The 22,739-nt window shown below is 39.6% G+C and overlaps 1 protein-coding gene and 2 pseudogenes across 9 annotated transcripts in view; 1 reads left to right on the forward strand and 2 right to left on the reverse strand.

Moving 5' to 3' along the window:
- Nucleotides 1-22,739, forward strand: part of RGPD1 (RANBP2 like and GRIP domain containing 1) — a 100,318-nt gene that overhangs the window by 2,983 nt on the left and 74,596 nt on the right. For 6 of the 9 annotated variants that reach the window (XR_007074605.1, XR_007074622.1, XM_011532852.4 and 3 more), the window contains exons 1-2: nucleotides 974-1,037; nucleotides 5,977-6,051. The exons of 1 other annotated variant lie outside the window; for it this stretch is intronic. Coding sequence is in view for 6 of the 8 variants with exons in the window: in XM_011532852.4 (XP_011531154.2) it covers nucleotides 990-1,037; nucleotides 5,977-6,051 (123 nt within the window). In the remaining 2 variants the exon portion in view is untranslated. Of the gene's footprint in view, nucleotides 1-849; nucleotides 1,038-5,976; nucleotides 6,052-22,739 lie in introns of those variants that run through there. 2 more of the 9 variants (XM_011532845.4, NM_001024457.4) reach the window with 2 other exon arrangements.
- On the reverse strand, nucleotides 13,079-14,268 carry WBP1P1 (WBP1 pseudogene 1; annotated as a pseudogene).
- NDUFB4P5 (NADH:ubiquinone oxidoreductase subunit B4 pseudogene 5) lies at nucleotides 17,760-18,201 on the reverse strand (annotated as a pseudogene).

A 22,739-nucleotide genomic window follows, 5' to 3' on the forward strand; every position in this document is an offset into this window, starting at 1 on the left:
TTACAGGTGCCTGCCACAATGCCCAACTAATTTTTGTATTTTTAGTAGAAATGGGGTTTCACCATGTTGGTCAGGCTGGTTTCGAACTCCTGACCTCAGGTGATCCACCCGCCTTGACCTCGCAAAGTGCTTAGATTACAGGCGTGAGTCACCATGCCTGGCCCATAGTGACTTTTAATTTGTCACCCGAGCTAGAACATCTTTAAGAGTGAAGGGGAGCAGTTAGTAATTGCTAGGCAATGGATGTAAATCAGGACTGTCTCTGGCAAACTGGGCTATTTGGTTACTTTATTTCTGATGCAAAATTAATGATCAAAAAGCTGTCCTTGGCCGGGCACAGTGGCTCACACCTGTAATCCCAGTGCTTTGGGAGGCCAAGGCAGGTGGATCATGAGGTCAGGAGTTTGAGACCAGCCTGGCCAACATGGTGAAACATGGTCTCTACTAAAAATACAAAAATTAGCCTGGGGCAGTGGCAGACGCCTGTAATCCCGGCTACTTGGTGGCTGAGGCAGGAGAATCTCTTGAACTCAGGAGGCAGAAGTTGCAGTGTGCCAAGACTGCGCCACAGCACTCCAGCCTGGGCAACAGAGCGAGACACCCTCTCAAAAAAAAAAAAAAAAAAAAGCTGTCTTCAGACCCCTTTCAAGCCCTGTTGAATTCAGTAGTTGGTTTTAGTTTCAGATGATGGGTTAGGTAATGTTTGCATCTCATTGGCTCTTTAATGACAGTTTTCTTTTCATAATAATTGGCCTTTACATAGTAGAAGTTAAAGAAACTTGGTTATTGAAAGGGGAAAAGAAATGCATGCAGAGTAAGAATACTAAAATTAATCTTTGCTTTTAATAGTACAAACGTGTTTGCAAACAATTAAGTTTATCCTGCCAAAAGAAATAGCAGTTCAGATGCTTGTCAAGTGGTACAATGTCCACAGTGCTCCAGGAGGACCCAGTTATCACTCAGAGTGGAATTTATTTGTGACTTGTCTCATGAACGTGATGGGTTTTAACACAGACCGCTTAGCATGGACTAGAAATGTAAGTAAATACAATTGTTTTCTTTATGAGTTATTCTGTTAATGTAATGGTTGCATAATTGGTAATATAACATTGAGACTATATAATAGGCGTACCATATTCAAAATAATAGAATAATATTAAGGTTTATTGTATCTATATGTTGTAAATCAAATCTCACTTAATATTTAATGTTAACATTTTACTAGTGATTATAATTACTGAGCTTTAGAATGTTAAAGCATATATGACTATTTCTCATTTCACCTTTGTAAAATGACTGCAAGTTATGCTAGGATTAGTGATAGTCTTGGTTTTATTGATGAAGAAACTGGATCACAAAGAAATCACAGATCTGTGATTTTTTAAAAACTATGACTAGACTGCATCTTCTGACTCCTTGTTTAACATTGTTTTCTGAAGATAAGATTGTCTTTTTACACACATATTGCTTAGGATGTGAAGAGGAAGGTTTGATTTGAGGGAGATTTAAAGTACTTTAGCCGAGTACTATACCATCTACTCTGTACTTATACCATCTACTCTGTTAATGGTATAAGGCCTTACCTCTCACCCTCTTCCCCCAGTAACATCCTTACAGGCCCTTATTAGATTATTTACAAAATCAGCAGAGTGGTGTCTTCAGTATTGGTGATCTCCTTCTAGCTTTGGAGATCACTCCCAGGACAACTTTGCCTGGGTCACTCTGAAAAAAAATCACTCTAGACTATAATTACCCCTTTTCCAGGTAGCTCAGCTGTACCATTCTATATGTTTTAGCCTTGCACACCAAATCTTTTTTTTTTTTTTTTTTTTTTTTGAGACAGAATGTTGCTCTGTCACCTAGGCTGGAGTGCAATGGCGCAATCTCAGCTCACTACAGGCTCTGCCTCCTGGGTTCATGCCATTTTCCTGCCTCAGCCTCCCGAGTAGCCGGGACTACAGGCGCCCGCCACCACGCCCGGCTAATTTTTTGTGTTTTTAGTAGAGATGGGGTTTCACCATGTTAGCCAGGATGGTCTCGATCTCCTGACCTCGTGATCTGCCCGTCTCAGCCTCCCAAAGTGCTGGGATTACAGGTGTGAGCCACCGTGCCTGGCCAGCAAATCCATTTTTAAAACTTGTTTTTTGTCTTAATTATGAAAGGAAAATGTGGAAAATGGAGGAATTAAGAAAATAATTATACTACTCAGAGATAACCACTCTAAATATTTTTGATGTTACCTTCTATATAAAAATACCAATGAAAATTTCCCGTTATCATTAAAAATTTTTTCTAAAATATCTCCATCATTTCTTCATAGTGTAGTTTTATCATAATTAACCAATAGCTAATAATTGTACCTTGTGAATCTGTTGTTTTCGTTATTGGAATTTATAAACATCCTTTTTCACGACTCTTTAACCACATCTCTAGTTACTTCCCAAGAATTGAATCTTAAAAGAGAAACTGTGAGGTCAAGTAATGTTTGGAAAGGGGTTCCCAGGTGACATTCTTACTAGCATCATTTAAAAGCGCCCATTTCACCACAGTGTTTATTTGTGGTGTGGTGAACCTTTGCCAGCTTCCTGAGAAATTTTATCTTATTTCTCTATAAGTAAATGGGAATGGTTTTTTCAAAATTTCATCAGTTATTTATAGTTCTTATTTTTTGATTCGTATTTCATGTCCTTTGTCTATGTTCCAGTCTCTTCTCAGACCAGTGGCCAAAGTAATCCTGTTTGATAACGTCAGGTAGCGTTCGTCACGCCTCTGCGTAGAATCCCCCAGTGACTTCCCATGTCACTCAGAGTAAAGGCCATAGGCTTATAAGGTGCCATGTGACCTAGCCCTTGCTCACCTTCCTGGTCTTATTTCTTAATGCTTTGCACACATCATCCCGGCCACATTGGCCTCAGCTCTGTTCCCTGAGCACTGCCAGCATGTTTCTGCCTCTGAGTGTTTGCACTTGCCATTACCTCTATGGAGAATGCTTTCCCTCCGACAAGACGTGCTTAGGTCTTTATTCAGATGTCACCTCAGTGCTGCCTGTCCTGTCTCTCTCTATAGAATTACACCTGCCTCCATACCTTTAGTGCCATTTACCTGTTTTTCTTTCTTCTCACTTAATTAAATATAATATACTGTATGTTTTACTTATTTTGTTTTGTGTCCCTCCTCCCCCAACTGGAATGTAAATTCTAGGAAGGCAAAGATTTTTGCTTAGTTTTGTTTACTACTCTCTCTCTCCAGGACCTGTGGTATTGCCTGGCATAGAAGGATACTCAGTGAACATTTGTTGAGTGAATGCCATTTTCCATCTGAGTGAGATACTGTTTTTAAGAGTTTGTGTCTATTTCAGCACATGAAGGAATTGCTGTCTGCAATTTCCTTGAGAAAAATCTTATGGGAAAATAGGGACAATTTTCTTTTCTTTTCTTTCCTTTTTTAAGACGGGGTTTTGCTCTGTCGTCTAGGCTGGAATGCAGTGGCGTTATCCTGGCTCATTACAACCTCTGCCTCCTAAGTTGAAGCGATTCTTGTGCCTCAGCCTCCTGAGTAGCTGGGATTACAGGCATGCACCTCCACGCCTGGCTAATTTCTGTATTTTTAGTAGAGACGGGGTTTTGCCATGTGGGCTATGCTGGTTTCAAACTCCTGAGCTCAAGTGATCCTCCCACCTTGGCCTCCCAAAGTGCTAGGATTACAGGTGTGAACCATGGCTCCTGGCCTTCTTTTCTAATTTTAAACAATTGTATCCAAGTGACATTATCCTCAATTTTTCTGTTCTTTATTACATGTGAAAAGATTAAGCCTCATAGAAACTGGATTTCTACATTATGAAAAAGCATGTCAGCTTTCTGTAGTTTTGTGTATCATTGTCCTTGGAACTTGTTGATGAGTACAGATTGTTGTGTCCTAGTCTCTGGCAGAGAACCTATGCCCCCTCGCGTTTCCATGTTTTGGGGAGGACTGAGCACCTACCCATTTTTTCCTTTGCAAAGAAGGACATGGCTCTTTGACTTACTTATTGCATGATAATTATAAAGGAAGGAATAAGGAAATCAATTCTTGAGGCCAAGTTGCTTTGCCATTTATTTATAGGACTGCGTGGTTAAACCCTTGCTATCTTTTGTCCTCATAGTCAAAGCTTAGGATGAAATGGTCCTCATTGGCAAATGGTTTTCATTTTGCTTTGTTCAGATTTATTCTTTTTGTTTTCACATATATAATGTGGTGGAGTACAGAATTTCTGCCAATGACTCGTTACACAATTTTTGGCATTTCTTTGTGCTTTCTTTAATTTGCTGATGTGTTACATGAGTGCACTGGACTGTACATTGTAGGAACAGTTGCATTTGGGGTTAACTTTTTGTGGCTTTTGGGCTGCTCTTTTTTTCATTAGATAAATATTGAATCCCTGCTGTGGGCCAGGCATGATGCCAGGTTTCTCACATATACCCCAGACAAAACAGATTGTTCCTCTGGAATTGACTGTCTTGAGGGAAACAAATAAATAATATTTGATACATGTGTTATGATAGATGAAGGGTAAGGGTCCATAGGAGCATATAACAGGGTTGGCTAACCTGAGACACATTGAAAGAGTGAAGATTAAACAGATCCATGTATGGCACAAAGAGCCATCCTTATCAGGCAGTTTCTACTTTCTCATAACTCCAGGCCTTATGAATCTGATAATTATAGCAGGGACATTCTTTTTGACTGTGGGACTTTGTGTGTGTTACATTTTGGTTGAAGTTTTAGGTTAGATAGTTACTGTTATATTTGTTGCTTTGATTTCACTGTTACTACCAGGTTTTTTATAATATATATGAGTTGGGCTGTTTTTTATTTGAATGCTTCACAAGCAAATCTTCTCTCTCAATAACATTCGGTTTTAAAAATCACTTTATTGCTACCTATGTTTAGTTTTTATATAGAAATCAACTCTGTTTAGGTGAGTGAGTTGATAAATATGTAAGTTTTTCAGCATAGGAAAATAGCCATTGCCATTTATAGAGTTACAGTTTATTAGTTGATGGTCAATGTCCATGTGAAGTAGCTGGGGCAGCAAAGATTATGCCAGGGGAAATTGAAGAAGAGCAACTTGCAGAAAACTGCTTTGATGTAGTTGTACTAGTTAAAAGATAGGCTCACTATTGTAATAGAAAGGCCTCAAAAGATACAATGGCTCAAACACAATAAAAATGTCTGTCTTGTTTACATAACAGGGCTTAGCAGATAAACAGGCCACACAGTTATTCAGGAACCCAGGTTGATGGAGGATCTTTTGTCTTCGGTTCAAAGCTTGCCGTTGGTTGACTGCATTCCAGTCAGGTGGAAGGGGCAAAGAGCCTGGAGGAGCAGGGGTAGGACTGGACTGGTCCTGGAAGTGATGACAGTGACTTCCATTTATAATTAACTCTGTCAAAGGGTCACACCTAACTTCAAAGGAGGCAGACGTATGTATGTAGTCTGGCTGTGGGTTCAGTAGAAAGAGGAGAAAAAAGATTTTCCAGAGTAGCTACTTGTCTCTGCCATAGAATTGTTAGATAGTTTACTGTAGGTGGACTGTAAATAAATGTTTGCTTAGTTCTAACATTTGACTGATATTGGGTTGATCCTTTGAGACTTGGTATATTGTGGATATGCCTAAAGTTTCTTTTTCTACCAAAGATGTGATGTAATCTATGTCGTTACAGAAGTAGGAGAGGGAAGGAAACTACCATTAAAATCAGTCCTTAGGAGCCCAGGCACTGTTCTAGATGTTTGCATATATTAATATGATTTCATTTCATCTTTACAGTAACCTGGAAGAAAGATATTTAAATAATGACTTTCCAGATCAAAAAATGAGTTTTGATGGCTTTTCTCAGTTTTCATAATTGGCAGAACTGATTTCCGAATCCTTTAAGTTGATCAGTTGACAGGAATGCATTTATGATTTTTATCTTTTCTTTTGGGGTTACTTTTCAGTTTGACTTTGAAGGATCACTTTCCCCTGTCATTGCACCCAAAAAAGCAAGGCCTTCTGAGACTGGATCTGATGATGTAAGCATTATTATTTCTTGCTAATATAAATTAATTTATGGATATTCATACTATTCTTCCACTTCTGTGGTATTCCTATCAATTCCTCTATCTTTCCAACACCTTTCACTTTATTTATTTTAATACTGAATAGCAATTATTTTGAAGAGTAGGATCTGTTACATTTTCTATGGTCTTTAATGATTATCCAAAAATTAATGTATGTATTACTGCATGATTTCAGTTTGGGTTTGTAGACATTTTATTATCAACTGATCACCTGAAATGACAGCATTTACCTTTTTTATGCAGTGTTTTTTAAATTAAGGTTCTCAATCGTATCAGGTTCCATGGTATATTCCTTTTTTTTTTTTTTTTTTTTTTGAGACGGAGTATCGTTCTTGTTGCCCGGGATGGAGTGCAGTGGCACGATCTGAGCTCACTGCAATCTCCGCCTCCCAGGTTCAAGCAGTTCTCCTGTCTCAGCCTCCTGAATAGCTGGGATTACAGGCGCCCGCCACCATGCCCGGCTAATTTTTGTAGTTTTGGTAGAGACAGGGTTTCACCATGTTGGCCAGGCTGGTCTCCAACTCATGACCTCAAGTGACCTTCCTGACCTTGGTGTCCCAAAGTGCTGGGATTACAGGCATGAGCCACTGCACCTGGCCTCCATGGTGTTATTCTTAAGTGGTCCAAATATGTTTTTTTAAATTGTGGTGTAATTTACAAAAATGAAATACATCTTGAGTTTACAGTTTGATCAGTTTTAATATATGCACACTCATGTAACCTACACTCCTATATAGACACAGAATATTTTTATAACTCCATAAAATTTCCTTGTGCGGTTTTTTTTTTTTGAGACGGAGTCTCGCCTTATCGCCTAGGCTGGAGTGCAGTGGCACGATGTTGGCTCACCACCTCCTGGGTTGAAGCTATTCTCCTGCCTCAACCTCCTGAATAGCTGGGATTATAGGCATGCGCCACCACGCCTGGCCAATTTTTGTATTTTTAGTAGAGATAGGGTTTCACCATGTTGGTCAGGCTGGTCTTGAACTCCTGACCTCGTGATCTGCCCACCTCGGCCTCCCAAAGTTCTGGGATTACAGGCATGAGCCACTGGGCCTGGCCCCTCTTGCTGTTTTTAATCAGCTTTATTCTCTTCTTCTAGCAATCACTGATCTGAATTCTGTCACCATATCTTAGTTATGCCTGTTCTAGAACTTGATGTAAATAAAATAATATAGTATGTAATCTTTGGTATAAGATTTATTCAGCATAATGCTTTTGAGATTCATTCATATTGTTACAGATACCCGTAGTTTGTGCTTTTTTATTGCTGAGTAGTATGAATATACCATAGTTTGTTTATCCATCCTTCTTCTGCTGGTAGATATCTAGGCTATTTCCATTTTTTTTTTTTAAGTCATGAATAAAGCAAGCTACTGCCAAAATTCACTGGCAAGTCTTTGTGGATATATATTTTCTTTTTTTGGGGGAGGGGGACAGAGTCTTGCTGTGTCATCCAGGCTGGAGTGCAGTGGCACGATCTCGGCTCACTGCAACCTCTGACTCCCAAGTTCAGGCAGTTCTCATGCCTCAGCCTCCCCAGTAGCTAGAATTACAGGTATGCGCCACCATGCCTGGCTAATTTTTGTATTTTTAGTAGAGACTGGATTTTGCCATGTTGGCCAGCCTGGTCTCAAACTCCTGGCCTCAATAATCCGCCCATGTTGACCTCCCAAAGTGCTGAGATTACAGGTGTGAGCCACCATGCCCGGCCCGTGGACATACATTTTCATTTCTTTTTTAAGAGACGGGGTGTCACTTTTTGCCTACGCCGGACTGCAGTGATGCTATCGTAGTTGGCTGTAATCTCGAACTCATAGGCTCAAGCCATCCTCCTACCTCAGCCTCCAAGTGGCTAGGACTACCGGTATGCTCCATCATGCCTGGCTAATTTTTAAATTTTTTTGGCAGAGACAAGGTCTTACTATAATATGTTGCCCAGGCTGGTCTCAAACTCCTGGGCTCAAGCAGTCCTCCTGCCCCTATCTCCCAAAGTGCTGCGATTACAGGCATGAATTTTAATTTCTTTTAATTTAATTTAATTTCTTTTAAATTAAAATTCACATCTGTAATTTTAATTTCTTTTAATTTAATTTCTTTTAAATGAAAATTCACGCCTGTAATCACAGCACTTTGAGGGGTAGGGGCAGGAGGACTGCTTCAGCCCAGGAGACCAGCCTGGGCAACATATTATATAGTAAGACCAGTTGTCTACCAAAAAAATTTGAAAATTAGCCAGGCATGATGGCGCATAACCTGTAGTCCTAGCTACTTGGAGGCTGAGGTTGGAGGATGTTAAACACTCTTTCATGTGCTCATTAGCTGCTTATGTATCTTTTTGTGAAGTTTCTGTTCAAATCTTTATCAACTTGTAAATTAGATTTTAAAAAATTTGTAAGCTGGTGAAGTTCTTACATGTTCTAGACATGAGTTCTTGACCATATTTTCCCTTAGAATGTGGCTTTAACAGTGTCTTTGATGAGCAGAATTTTTTATTTTAGTTATCCAATGTATCAGTTTTTTATTTTATTTTATTTTATTTTTGAGATGGAGTCTTGCTCTGTTGCCCAGGCTGTAGTGCAGTGGCATGATCTCAGCTCACTGCAAGCTCCACCTCCCAGGTTCACACCATTCTCCTGCCTCAGCCTCCCGAGTAGCTGGGATTACAGGCACCCGCCACCACACCTGGCTAATTTTTTGTATTTTTAGTAGAGACCACGTTTCACCATGTTGGACAGGCTGGTCTTGAACTCCTAACCTCAAGTGATCCACCAGCCTTGGCCTCCCAAAGTTTTGGGATTACAGGCATGAGCCACTGTGCCCAGCCAAGGATATTCTTTTTATAACATTTTCAAAAATTAAGGCATATTGTATATACAGGAAAAAAAATGAAGCCTATGATTTATATTTACAATTGCTTTGATTTAATACAAATTAAAATATTACTGTTTATGAGAATGAGATTCTAAATGTAAATGGAATTCACAGAATGCATAATTTTTTTCTCGTTTAAAGAAATAGAGTCTCGCTGTATGCCTAGGCTGGTCTCGAACTCCTGGGCTCCAGCCATCCTCCCATTTCAGCCTCCCAGAGTGTTGGGATTACAGGCGTGAGCCACCACGCCTGGCCTTGTACATGTTATATAGTGACCATTTTGCACAAGATTGTTTGCCAAATGAATAATTAAAAAAATCCATTTAGTGTACTTTCCTTTAAATATTTTCACACCTGGAGTTAAAACATTGTATTTTATAAAATGTTATTAATATAAAAATACTTGTAAATAAACTTGTGGCTATGTAGAATGTAGTAGAGGACTTTTGCATAAGCCCAGAGCCTAGTTTCTAAAGGTCTTTAGAAATATATAATAGACATAGAGGGGAAAGAGTTGGGGGAAATCAGAGGGAGGTATAATTCTGGTCTCTCGTCGTTCAGTTCTTTTTCATTCAGTTCTCTCAGGCACGACTCCAGCCACTTAGTTTTATATTTCAACTGGATGTTGACCCAATTAAAACAATTCACAGCTCCTGAAGATGAAATACTATGAGTCCCTGCTTTGGACACATCTGTAGTAGAGTAGGAAAAGATAAATATAACCCAAGTAATTGTTACAGAATCTTCTGAAATATACAAATGGTAAAAGGTTTTGTAGGGCGTGTACTGGGGAAAAAGATAATTTTTCAACATGAACCTTTTAAGAGCTTGTGAGTCTCAAAGAGTCTTTAATTGATAGGTGATATGGATAATACTCCCCTTTGGGAGGAGGTTTATAATACATAAACAACCTCCCCACCCTTCCCTCACAGCTTTCTGTCCTGTACTACAAGAACAACAAAACTCCAACTAGTCAGAATTGCAAGTGGTTTATGGCCCCCCATATAGATTGAAAACTTGCTAAGAGACTGCACTGGAGAACCTGAAAGGATGAGGATGGAAAAGATGATTATACTTTTCATTTGCAACAGGGCTTTCATTTGATTCTCACATTAATCCCATGTGGTAGTTAATTAAGGTAGTATTACAAGGTTCAGTGAATTGTCTGAGATCTCACAAATACAACCTAGATAAGAACCCAGGTATTATTATTTTCAGTCTTGCAATATTATTTTCCTACTTGCAATATTATCTTCACTCTTCATTAAGTTTGCACAGCAAAGTAATGGAATAAGTTCTGGGCTTTAATCCTTGAGTAGTTTGGAACTGTAATGTGTTACATTTGAGAGAGAGCCCTTCATTTTGAATAAAACCTTGGTACTGTTCCTGATCTTCTAACTTGGGTTAATGCTCTTCCCATTTTCATGATTTTTTTCATTTGTGAAATGAAGTAGTTGCACTAGATCATTTTCAATTTTCCTTCCCACTTAAATCAGTTTTAATTAAAAAAATTGCAGATGCCTTTTCTCAGATTGGAGTACACTTTTTGCTCCACACAATATCTGGTGTGTAAATTGGTATGTTCCGTGGAGTAAATACCTTTCCTGACTAGCCATTAACTTACTTCTGATTCCTGAATCCACTAATTTAACTATTGTTGAAATTACTAAAGGAAATTTTTCTTTAGCAAATGTAAAAACTCATATCAGGTCTCAGGTTTGATGTTGTAAAGCACTCTGACTCTTAGGAAGACTCTTTTTTTCCCCCAACCTCTCATAAACAAATTATTTCATTCATTATAAAATTTCATTCATTACATTTTCATTCTTCAGACTTGCAGTGTTTCCTCTCTGCTAAGTATAGTGTTAAACACTGGCAAAAGAACTCTGGACACAACATCATGAACTTGCTCTCTGGGATCTTATAATCTAGTTGCAGAAGCAGATTGGTAAATACATAGTATAGCACAAGTACTATAATGGAGGCCTGAACTGAGTGCTGTGGGGGTACACAGATGAAGGCTTCTGGGAGACATCATGGCATAACTAGACCTGGAGGATGAATAAAACTTTGGCCAAGTAAATACAGAGATACATGAAAAGCATGGATAAATGGCACAAGTAGGTTCAGGGATGATAAAAGTGTTAGTATGTGGAGAGTGTACAACTATTTTGGGGAATGGGGAAACAGATTAAATTTGGGGCCAGACCCCGAAGGATGTGGGGATCCCATCAAAGTCTTTTAAGCAGGAGAATGATCAGATGCATTTTTTGGTATACTACCTGGGGGATAGGAGGAAGTGGACTACAGAAGGGGAGATCAGTAGAAGGAAGACAAGTTAGGAAGCTTTTCAGTCATTTTCATTAAACATGAAGCTTAATACATATTGTTCTAAGATCAGGAATACAGCAATAAAGAAAAAAACTTGCTGTAATGAAACTTACATTTTCTTGGGAGAGACAGAAAATAAACATGAAAAACAGATGTGTTCAATGGTGATAAAGCAGAAAGGGAGATGGGGAGTCAAGTGCATGTGGGGAGGGTGTTTAGGGAAGCACTTATGAAAGAGTAACATTTGAGCAAAGAGCCCTGATACAAGACAACAATCCAGACCCAAGACATTTGAGGAAAGAGCATCCATATAAAGGGAGTGGGAGGTAGAGAAAACCTGGACCAGGAATGAGCCTGGTATGATTGAGGAAAACACAAGGGATGTGGCCAGAGAATAATAAGAGAATAAATTAGAGGGGTAATAGGCAATTGTATAGGGCCTTGTGAGCCATTGTGTGGACCTTGGATTTCACTCTTGAGTGACCTGGGAGCTAATGGGGGATTAAACAGAGGAGGGACAGGATCCTCTATGGTATATGGTAAATGAGTAGTATGGTAAATGAGGTAAATGAATAGTAAAAGGAACTGCTGTGGTAATTTAGGTAACAGATGATGATGGTTTAGGTGAAAGTGGTTGGATTGTGGATATGGTTTGATTGGTGTTAGAACCAATAGGATTTAGTGGTGGCTGGATGTGGACAATGGGAGAATAGAATGAACCAAAGCTATTGTAAACGTCTAGAAATCAGATGAGGACTTGACGAAAGGCATTGGCAATGAGAAAGTAGACAGGCACCATTCATGAGGTATTTCTTAGCATTGATAGAGTTGGATATAAATATCTGGAATTCTTAGCTGATTGAAATGTTAGTTGAAATGAATGATACCACTCAAGGTATGTGTGTCAAGAGGTATGGAGAAGAGCACAGAAGTTTTTGGAAACCAAGGGAGGAGAAAAGAAGGGATAGTCACAGAGCAGTAAAGAAAAATAAAGGTTAAAAATAGGTCACAGGATGTACATTATCCTAAGTTAAAATATTTTAAGGTTTGAATGAAAGGGTGCTGCAGGGTTTGCAAACTGGTGGGCTTCAGGCCTAAAATCTGCCTATACTGTTGTTTTTGCCTGACAGAATATCTTAAAATATCTGTATTTGAAAGCATTTAAGGCTTGACTTGTGCTCTACGCTCCACAGTCTTATCGTTCATAGTTTCTTGGCAAACTCACCACTCAAGCTGTGCCTCACTTATTTAGGAGATCTGCCTCACTAGGGTAGACATTTTAGGTTTATGACTCTTAAGTTTTCACCTGGACAGATTGGCTAACAAAAAGAACCTCACAGGTGGGTGACCTTGAATTCACCAGGTCATGCCATCAGTTCAGAGCGGCCGGAGAACTCTGTTCTCTTGTGCATTGATGCCCCCGGAGTTGTGAAACACAGTGGCCCTGCTTCAGTTTTTTAGATTTAGAAACTGGTCAGTGTCAGAGCGATCAGACACAGAAATGTTAATTCATGTTCAAAAATAATAACCAGGCTAGCATTTGTTTAGCACTTGCTATGTGACAAGTACTGTTTTAAGTGCTTTACATGAATTGTTTAATCCTCACAACAACCCTGGGAAATAGGTCCTATTATTAGGCGCCCTTTCTACAGATGAGGAAACAGACAACAGATTGGTAAATTTCCCAAGATCACAAAGTAAGTCAGTAGGAGCTCAAAGTAACCTGACTCCAGAGCCCACACTCTTTTTTTTTTTTTTTTTTTTTTTTTTTAGCTGGTTCACGTCTCTTTAATGAGATCAAAGGCTCCTGTGTATGTCTTGCGGGGGTAAAGCTAGCACAGTCCCCCAATACTGCCCCTCTCCTCAGGGCTCCAGCCCTTTCAGGCAGATTCTAGGTAGGCAGGGAGGGGCCAAAAGGAACGCAAGGAGTTGGGACTAGGGCTGTTTCTGGTGGGCAAGTAACCCATCCACCCTCTCAAAACTACTTATGGGATGTCCCCTTCACTGGAAGACAGCCCCATGGGAAAGACCTGCGGTACAGAATCTGGGGGCAGTGCACACGGGGAGTAGTCCTCCAGATCTGGCAGGGTGGCACTAACCCTCACCTCCTTGACTGGCTCAGCCTCACCGGAGGCAGGACAAGGGCAGAGCTTAATACCGGAGTCGCCAGTTAAACGGCGATAGCGGCAGGAGGGGGGTGTGGGGGCAGGGGTCACCCCTGCCCCAGACTCACCCTCCTGATGAGGGAGGGCACTCTGGTGGGAGGAAACACCTTCCACATTTGTTCCTTCAAAATGGGCAGGGCAGCTGGATGAGGAGGAACAGCAGGTTTGTTCACTGGAAGCAGTCAAGGGGCGGCCTGGGGCGACAGTATAAGGCGCGGAGGCGGGGGGCGGGGGGTGGTGCCTGGGCGGTGAACCACATCCTCGTAGGCTGGGGGCTTGAAGGTGCTGAGGAGGCGAAGGTCAAGCAGTGAACCGGTAGGGAAAGGACCAGCCCCATGGCATGCCCCATGATAAGCCAACAAGTTGATTTCACGCTGCCGCTGCTGTTGTTGCAGCCTGAGTTTAGCTCGTCGGTGGCGGAAGGCCCAACAGCAGCTAAAGAGGATGAGGACAGTCCAGAGCAGCCAGAACCACCAGAGCTCATAGTAGTAGGTGCAGCAGCCAGTCTCCCCGCAGCAGTGAACACTCTCACAGAGGTAGGGCTGGTTGTTCACTCCTGGGCACAGCTCTCGAAGCTGCTGTTGCGGCGCCCGAAGTGCCCCCCAGGCCTCCTCGCTGCCGTTCCCGCTGCTGGCCCGAGCCATACCTCCACCTACAGCCCCCTGAGGACCACAGCCTCCTCTACCGCCAGCCGCCCCGCCCCTGCCACCTCTGCTGCCACTGCCATGGTCCCTGCCCGGCCCATCTTCGCTGAGGCCACCATCACTCCGCGGCCGGAGCTTCCATCCCCAGAGCCCACATTCTTATCTGAGCATATACATCCCCATCACAAGAGAACGCCAGTTTATTCAAGTAAAATAAGGACTAGAAATTTACATCAGGGAATGTATTCTTTCACTGTAGAATGCTGAATGGAAAACCAAATTTCAATAGTTGCCTACTGAACAAGATCATGAGATAACAACAAGGGAGTTGATTATAAATGACTAGAAGTTTTAAATGGCATCGACTCTGATAAAGTGATAATCTCAGCTCCATGATATACTCGTCAAGCAGTTACTTACATCAATCTGCCTTATAGGATATCCTTTCTCCTGGTTAATGCTTATGTGATAGTGTTTTGTACCTTTCCTTTTTCACTGCTTTCATTACTGACCAAACTACTCACCCCCATATTTCTGGTAGATATATTTCTTTTCATTGCATGTTAGTATCTTAAATTTAGTCCTATCTTTTACTTGATCCTCCGTGCTTGACTTCCTAATCTATGTTCTGGTTTATGTTTTAGTTTTACAGTTGAGCTTTCTGAGGACATTCTTATTCCCAGTATCTTTTTTTGGGTGGTTGGGTTCTGGGAGGTGGTATTTGACTGCTGCTGATGTGTACCAACCAAGACAGTAGTCATTAAGTGACTAACAATAATGATTTCAGCAGATTATTACTCTTGGCAAAGAGCAAGCTTTCTCTATTATAAATGATTTTATATTTGTTTTGTTTTTCTTTATTTGTAATTTGAGTTCTAGCTTAACATTATTACTTCAGATAACTGTTAATACATTTTCATAAATCATACATTCTTGAATGGCAAATAAATAAATAATCAAGTTCCAAGTAGTTTCTAAAGAGAGTAAACATTAAAAGTAAACATAAAACTACATAAAAATCGATCACAGTCTATTCATAAAGTTGGTATGAAAATAAAGATCCTAGATTTGGAACCCTCATGATACTCAATATTTTACATATATCAGAGTTTGTAATTTCCATAACTTCATTTGGTAGTTAGACATATAGACAGAGAAGATAATAATATATTCATTATATATATATTTATGTATTATATTCATTATATATATATTTATATATAATATTCATATTATATATATATGTCTATAACATATAGACAGAGAAGATAATAATATATTCATTTTATAGTTTAGGAAACAGACTTGGAAGGGCAAATAACTTGTCTAAGATGACTAAGCAGCTGAGTGAGAACCACAGCCTATCTGTGGCATTCAGTTTCAGCCATCTTTCCCTTGCTTCATAAGGATAGTTACTCTGGTATCAGTTGCTGGATTGGGATTTTGGGCATTTATAAATGTTTTTATTTTGGATATTACTGAATCACAGACAATTTCATCTTAGTTAATTAAAAATTCATCTTACGTGACACTTGTCTAAATCTTAAAATATTAAAATTTTAATGTATAAGGATGTTAATAATCTTTATATTTTAAGAGACTATGAAGTCAAGTCTAGCTAACTTAGATCTGTAAGTTTTTAGCTATGGAAAGCAATTCTATTGTGTACAAGTTTCAGCCTGTGAAGGGAATTCATTGAAAATGTATAGAGATCAGAAGAACTAACACCTTTCTTGCATGGATTTTTCTTGATTATTGGCAGTTAACAATAAAATGTTATTAGATCACTGGTGCTTCTGTGTGGGGTTGAGTTTTTTATGATATCTTCTGTTAGACCCATAAGGGAGGCTGTGAGTTGTTTTCTACATCCTTGGAATATATAAGATCCTCTTTTAAAATTATATTTTATATAAGCACATGAAAATGGAATGAAATAATGAATTGACATAGGAATTACCTACATATTTTGGCTGTACATTTAGTGCACAAAATATCCCTTTTTTGAATGCCAAATGGCCAAGTGTGAAAACCAATATTTGTTAAAGCTGGAGCAGAAGTCGGTATCATCATCATAGAGTAAACTTCTGGCATATGTGAAGATATGAAATGTTATCCCTGAAGTTATTATAATTTATTCTCAGAAATATTAGTAATCTTATTTTAAGAGTAGGACATTATAGTGCAGTAATGATAATTTTCTCAGTGCTGCCTGTTGCTAGATTGTTCCTATGATTGCTGTCATGCACATACAGACACTAAATTGAGGGTCACTTTCCACTGAAGTTAGTGGAATACAAAATAGGTGGAGGAACTTTCTTCCTCTAACGTCTTTATATGTGTCTGTGTTTATATATACGTGTATGTATATAAATATGTATACACATATATAATATCTGGAGCAAAAATGATTATGTTGTAAGAACTTTTGGAGGTTTTCCTCCTCGTAAAATTCCGAAGTGGTAGAGTTAACATTCTGCTTTTAATTTATCTACAAAAACATGTGAAGAATCCCCAAATAAGATTTTCTCATAGAAGATTCATGGATTTTGAGTCTCAGAAAAAAAAGGAAGAAAAAAACTTCATGGTATAAAACAACTAAAAATTAAATATAGTCTTTAGAAATGATTTTGTTTAGTATAAATAATACTGGTATGACAACTGAATGCAATTGAAATTATGATATAAAATTTCTATTCTGCTTTGTATTTTTCATTAAAGTTTTTATAATTGTCATCTGAAAAAGGATTTAATATTCTTAAATTCATTAGCTAACTCTCTCAATATTATTACACTATTATTTGCCTATTTGAAAATTGTTACTTTCTTTCGTACATAAATAGCATTCATAATCATTGTGACATTTTCTTCTTGCATTAATGTACATTTATACTTCATCTAATTGAGAAAATTTTAACATACAAAGTGACACAAAAAGATTTTCATTCCAAGTTTTATGTAAAACACCTAAAATTGGAAAATGAATATTCAGATACTAAGAGTAAATTTTTTTTTTTTTTTTGAGACGGCATCTAACTCTGTCACCCAGGCTGGAGTGCAGCGGTGGGATCTTGGCTCACTGTAACCTCTGCCTCCCGGGTTCAAATTATTCCCCTGCCTCAGCCTCCTGAGTAGCTGGGACTACAGGCCCACAATGCCATGCCCGGCTAATTTTTGTATTTTTTGGTAGAGACGGGGTCTCACCATGTTGGCCAGGCTGGTCTCAAACTCCCAATCTCAAGGGATCTGCTGGCCTCAGTCTCCCAAAGTGCTGGAATTACAGGCGTGAGCCACTGCACCTATATGACATACTTGAAAAAATATTCTTGGGCCGGGTGTGGTGGCTCACGCCTGTAATCTCAGCACTGTGGAAGGTCGAGGGTGGATCACCTGAGGTCAGTAGTTCAAGACCAGCCTGGCTAACATGGTGAAACCCCATCTCTACTAAAAATACAAAAATTAGCTGGGTGTGGTCGCATGCGCCTGTAATCCCAGCTACTTGGCAGGCTGAGGCAGGAGAACTGCTTGAATCCAGGAGGCGAAGGCTGCAGTGAGCAGATTGCACCACTGCACTCCAGCCTGGGAGACAGAGCGAGTCTCTGTCTCAAAAAAAAAAAAAAAATTCTCACTTTCTGTTGTTGTTGTTTGTTTAATGATTAATAGACGATTTATTTAAGCAAGAATACATAGTCATCATTGCCAGACTTAATATGACAGGTTAAATGTTGGACCCAATTTTCCTTCCCAGATAAGTTTTTCTTTCCTATCCCTGTCAGTTTTGAAAACATAATACCAGAAGAAGAGGGGCCCAATTCCACACAGAGCTCCCAAGAGTGAGTTTTTAGGAGTGGGTCTGAAATTAGGAAAGACACTTGCTGATCTTGCATAGGTCCAAGGAATCAAGGCAGGATTTTCGATGAGCCCTCGGCAGTTAGGGTAAGCAGGTTTCAGCCAGGCTCTTAATGGTCAACCACTTGGCTTGCGCCTGCTGGGTTTCCGAAGACATGTCCTATTCGGCTGGTTTGAGGGCATAGTGGCCAGGGGTGAAGGAGTATACTTTGGGAACGACATCTTGGCGACCCAGTGCACAACTCACTTTTTTTTGGAAACGAGGTTGGCTCTGTCGTCCAGACTGGAGTGCAGTGGCGCAATCTCGGCGCACTGCAACCTCCGCCTCCCGAGTTCGGGCGATTGTCCTGCCTCAGCCTCCCAAGTAGCTGGGACTACGGGCGCACACCACCACGCCCGGCTAAATTTTGCATTTTTGGTAGAGACGGGGTTTTGCCATGTTGCCCAGGCTAGTTTTGAGCTCCTGGGCTCAAGCGATCTGCCCGCTTTGGCCTTCCAAAGTGCTGGGCTTACAGGCATGACACTCTGCCTGGCCAGATTTTTGTTACCCTGTTTAGATATGATGGTAACTGAATGATCATGCAATCTCTGACCATGTGACATTCAGGGATACCAAAAATGACTTGAGATGGGCCAAGGCAGAATTGGAGAAGCATACTTTGGCTGAATACTTAGGCCAAAGTATAATTTGGAACATTTCTTTTAAAAAATCTACTCCCCTATGCCTCCCAGTTGCAGTACCTTACAATTACAGTTAATCTAGTAGCAGATACTTGATTGGGATATTAGGTATTTACAGACCAAATGCCCATTGGGATATTACTCGGTAACAGGCAGTTTCACTCTGGTTCATTGTAGATTCATCCAGTAAGCATTTCTAGAGAACTGCTATATGAAAATATTGTGGAAAGTATCAACTTTTTAAACTTTTGATGTCATGACACCTAGAAGATTATTTTCTGATACTCATATTCTAAGGGAATTTTATTTTCTGAGATTTGTTTCTGTGGAATTTTTAGTTCCCCAGTCTGCACTGAAAGCCTAAATCAAGAGGATAATTTGAAAGGTAATGAAAGTAAATCAATTCTAGCTTAGATACCCAAGAGAGTAAATGAAATATAAAAATAATAACTTTTAAAATGTCTCAAAAAAAAGCTATGGTAAGCTAATTCTGTTTGGTTTATTCATGCAATAGTCTGTCTCTGCTTATGACATAAAGTATAATATATTTTAGGAATAGTGTGGTTTTCTTCATGATGTCAAACATACAAGCTTATGGATATATTTAAAAATTCTTAATTTTCTAGATTAATGTTCAGCACTACTTCTTCCATCTTGCATTGGATGGGGGCAGATAATTAATAATTATCAGATATTTTCTTATCAAAAACAAATTTGTTGGAAAAAAAATTTTTTTTTTTTGAGATGGAGTCTCGTTCTATCACCCAGGCTGGAGGTGCAGTGGCGCAATCTCGGCTCACTGCAAGCTCCACCTCCCGGGTTCACGCTGTTGTCCTGCCTCAGCCTCCCACGTAGCTAGGACTACAGGCGCATGCCACCATGCCCAGCTAATTTTTTTGTATTTTTAGTAGAGACGGGGTTTCACTGTGTTAGCCAGGATGCTCTAGATCTCCTGACCTCATGATCTGCCTGCCTTGGCCTCCCAAAGTGCGGGGATTACAGGCATGAGCCACCGCACCAGGCCTCAATAAAATATTTTATAAATACCTTTAAGGAATAATACAAACACAACCAGAGCTTAAATAAATAAATGTAAATCAATCTGCTTGCTGGTTAAGTAATGAGTTCAGTGTTTCCGCACAGAAAGTGGGAGAGATAGATGAAGAAGAAAATAAAGCTTATTACATGTTGGGAAGGATTCTAGGCACTAAGTTCCTTTTTTTGAGACAGAGTCTCATTCTGTCGCCCAGGCCGGACTGCAGTGGCTCCATCTTAGCTCACTGCAACCTTTGCCTCCCAGGTTCAAGAGATTCTCCTGCCTCAGCCTCCCAAGTAGTTGGGACTACAGGCACCTGCCACCATGCCTGGCTAATTTTTGTATTTTTAGTAGAGATACGGGTTCACCATTTTGACCAGGTTGGTCTCGAACTCCTGACCTGAAGCGATCTGCCCACCTTGGCCTCCGAAGTGCTGCGATTACAGGCGTGAGCCACTGTGCTTGGCCAGTTCTAGGCATTAAGTTATAATTGGTTCATTTGGGGACTCGAAATTCTCCATTTTATTTTATTTTATTTTATTTTTTCTGCTTTTGTCACAAAAGCACAGACATTGCTTAACAAAGAGGTCTGAGACAGGATATGAATGTTAAGCTCAGGGACATAGGGTCAACACTTTTGAGTGCACAGACTGGGAACCTGGCAGAGTTTTAACAATCCCCTCCCCTATTTTCACCATCCCTTAGTCCTGTAGAAGTAGAGCAGATGATTACGTATTCACTGCTGTATGGCTTATTACCTTTGTAGGAATTCTAACTGAAGGGCTTGGCATTTGGCCTGACTGAATATCAGAATCCCTTTATTTTTCGTTCCATTGCAAAATAATTTTTTGTGCCATCAGTGAAATAACAGCTATGCAGTGGCATATACAGCTCTGGAGACCAGGCATTAGAAGACTGAGACAAGAATAACCAGAATGATGATAAGGAGACACTGGAAGTCACTTTAGATTGATGACCAAAGATTTCCTTATTCTGACCAGGAGGTCAGATCTCAAGGGTCCTTCTGAGTCCACTTTTGATTAGCCAAATTGTCTTTTCTTTCAGTTTGACTATAGGTTAGTCAACCTTCCCTCCACATTCATCAGGGACTGTTAGCAATATGTCATATTTTTTTCTTGGTGTACCATTAAGCAATCTAAAGCTATGCTGTTACCTGTAACCACTTGGATTAATTATTTTAGATTAGTTGGTTATACTTCTAGGGCTTTATGGCTTTATCTTTTCAGTCAGCATTATTAACCAAGTTTTGATAGCTTTTTCAACTTTTGTAACCCCCATCCAGGGAGATCAGTGTCCTCTCAGACACTTCCAGGTAAGCATGATCTCCTGGAAGACATGAGAAGTCTCTTAAATTGTCTAATTATTACATTGGAGCTACATAATAACTCCAATATACCTGGAGTTATTATGTGTATATGCAAGTTAGGTTCTAATGAGGCAAATATAAGTAAATATGTTGTTGATTCAGGAGGTAAAAATTAGGAGAGCCACGTGTAGTTTTAAAAACAAAAGAGGAATTACTTGTAACAGAAGTAAGTAAGAAAGGAATTCTCAGTTATCTCTTGGGTAGAGATACCTTGCATAGAGTTCAGCAAAAATTGCAAAGGTTGTCATAGGACTATGGAGGCCATTAGGCTAATTAAAATTTATAATATTGCCCATATATTTGTACTAAGTCTCATTCCTGAAGGATTTTATATTTGGGTTGAGGCTTTGAGAAATTCTAAGACTGGCTTGGGCAGTAAAACAAACCAAGTAAAAATTGCCATGGCTGTAAATAGTCAAAAAGGGGTAAGCTAAGTTTCTGCAAACTAAACAATTTCAGAGGGTGTAAGAATGTATTGGATAAAGGATGAAGATAAAAAGCACTTTGGAGACTATTGATACTCATCAGATTTTACCACTGATAATTTTTCAAGAGGAACTGTTTATGAAACTATAAAGAGAAAATGGAGATACAAAAAGCCATCCAAGATGTAAATGCCGAAGGCCAAGTTTTGAGATAAACAGAAAATCACAAAAACTCATGTCAGGTGGTTCTTCCATGGCCCCAGTGTGAGCAGACAGTATTTTCCTTGAGGAGAAATACTAGTTTGGTGGGGGTAAGGTAGGGAGTTAAACTTTAAGGATTAATCAAGAGAACTATACATATGCTATTTAGGTTGAGGGTAAAGATCAGAGTAGGCATGGGCAACGCCTAGACTCAATCAAGTTACCTATCAAGCAAGCTGACATATTCAGACAAAGCAAGACTCCATCTCAAAAAAAAAAAAAAATAAATAAATAAAAAGAATTCCTTCATTATTTTGTCATGCTTTAAGGCCCAGGACAGGCCTAGGCAAAAGTTTTGATGGCCTTTTGTTACATCCCAGCCTTTGTATAAGGGCACTGGCTTTTAGTATTTAACTTCATTCAGTCATTACTGAAACAGTTGTTATGGAAGTCTGCATTAGTGAGACCTGGCCTGCCACAGGAGGTTGCAGTGAGCTGAGATCGTGCCACTGTACTCCAGCCTGGGCGGCAGTGTGAGACTCTCTCAAAAAAGAAAAATGATGCAGAAAGATTTGTTTGACACAGAGTGGGCATAAACTTTCAATTTGTCAAAAACATAGTATCTGTGAAGTACAATAAAATGTAGTGCAATAAAATGAGGTATGCTTGGATAGCAAAACATCATGTTGTACCTAGTAAAGGTATACAATTTTTATTTGTGAATTATACCTCAGTAAAGCTGGACAAATGAACTGTATTTGCAACATGGTAGGAATATATGACATTGGACATTAATGCAAATGGAATTTTCAGTGCCATGGTGAAAATGTTATACCACTGAACAAAAAAAAAGTAGTGTGAAATGAAGTAAAATGTGAAAATCCGTAATAAATGCAGAAATATGAACTGCTTATCCAAAAGAGAAAAGTCTTTTGAGTTCCTCAAGAAGATTCTCTCTTTGGATGCTGGGCACGGTGGATGCCGGGCACCTGTATCCGAGCACTTTGGGAGGCTGAGGAAGATGGATCACTGGAGGCCAGGAGTTCAAGA

The sequence above is a fragment of the Homo sapiens genome, chromosome 2 (genome assembly GCF_000001405.40).
Source record: "Homo sapiens chromosome 2, GRCh38.p14 Primary Assembly".
NCBI lineage: Eukaryota > Metazoa > Chordata > Mammalia > Primates > Hominidae > Homo > Homo sapiens.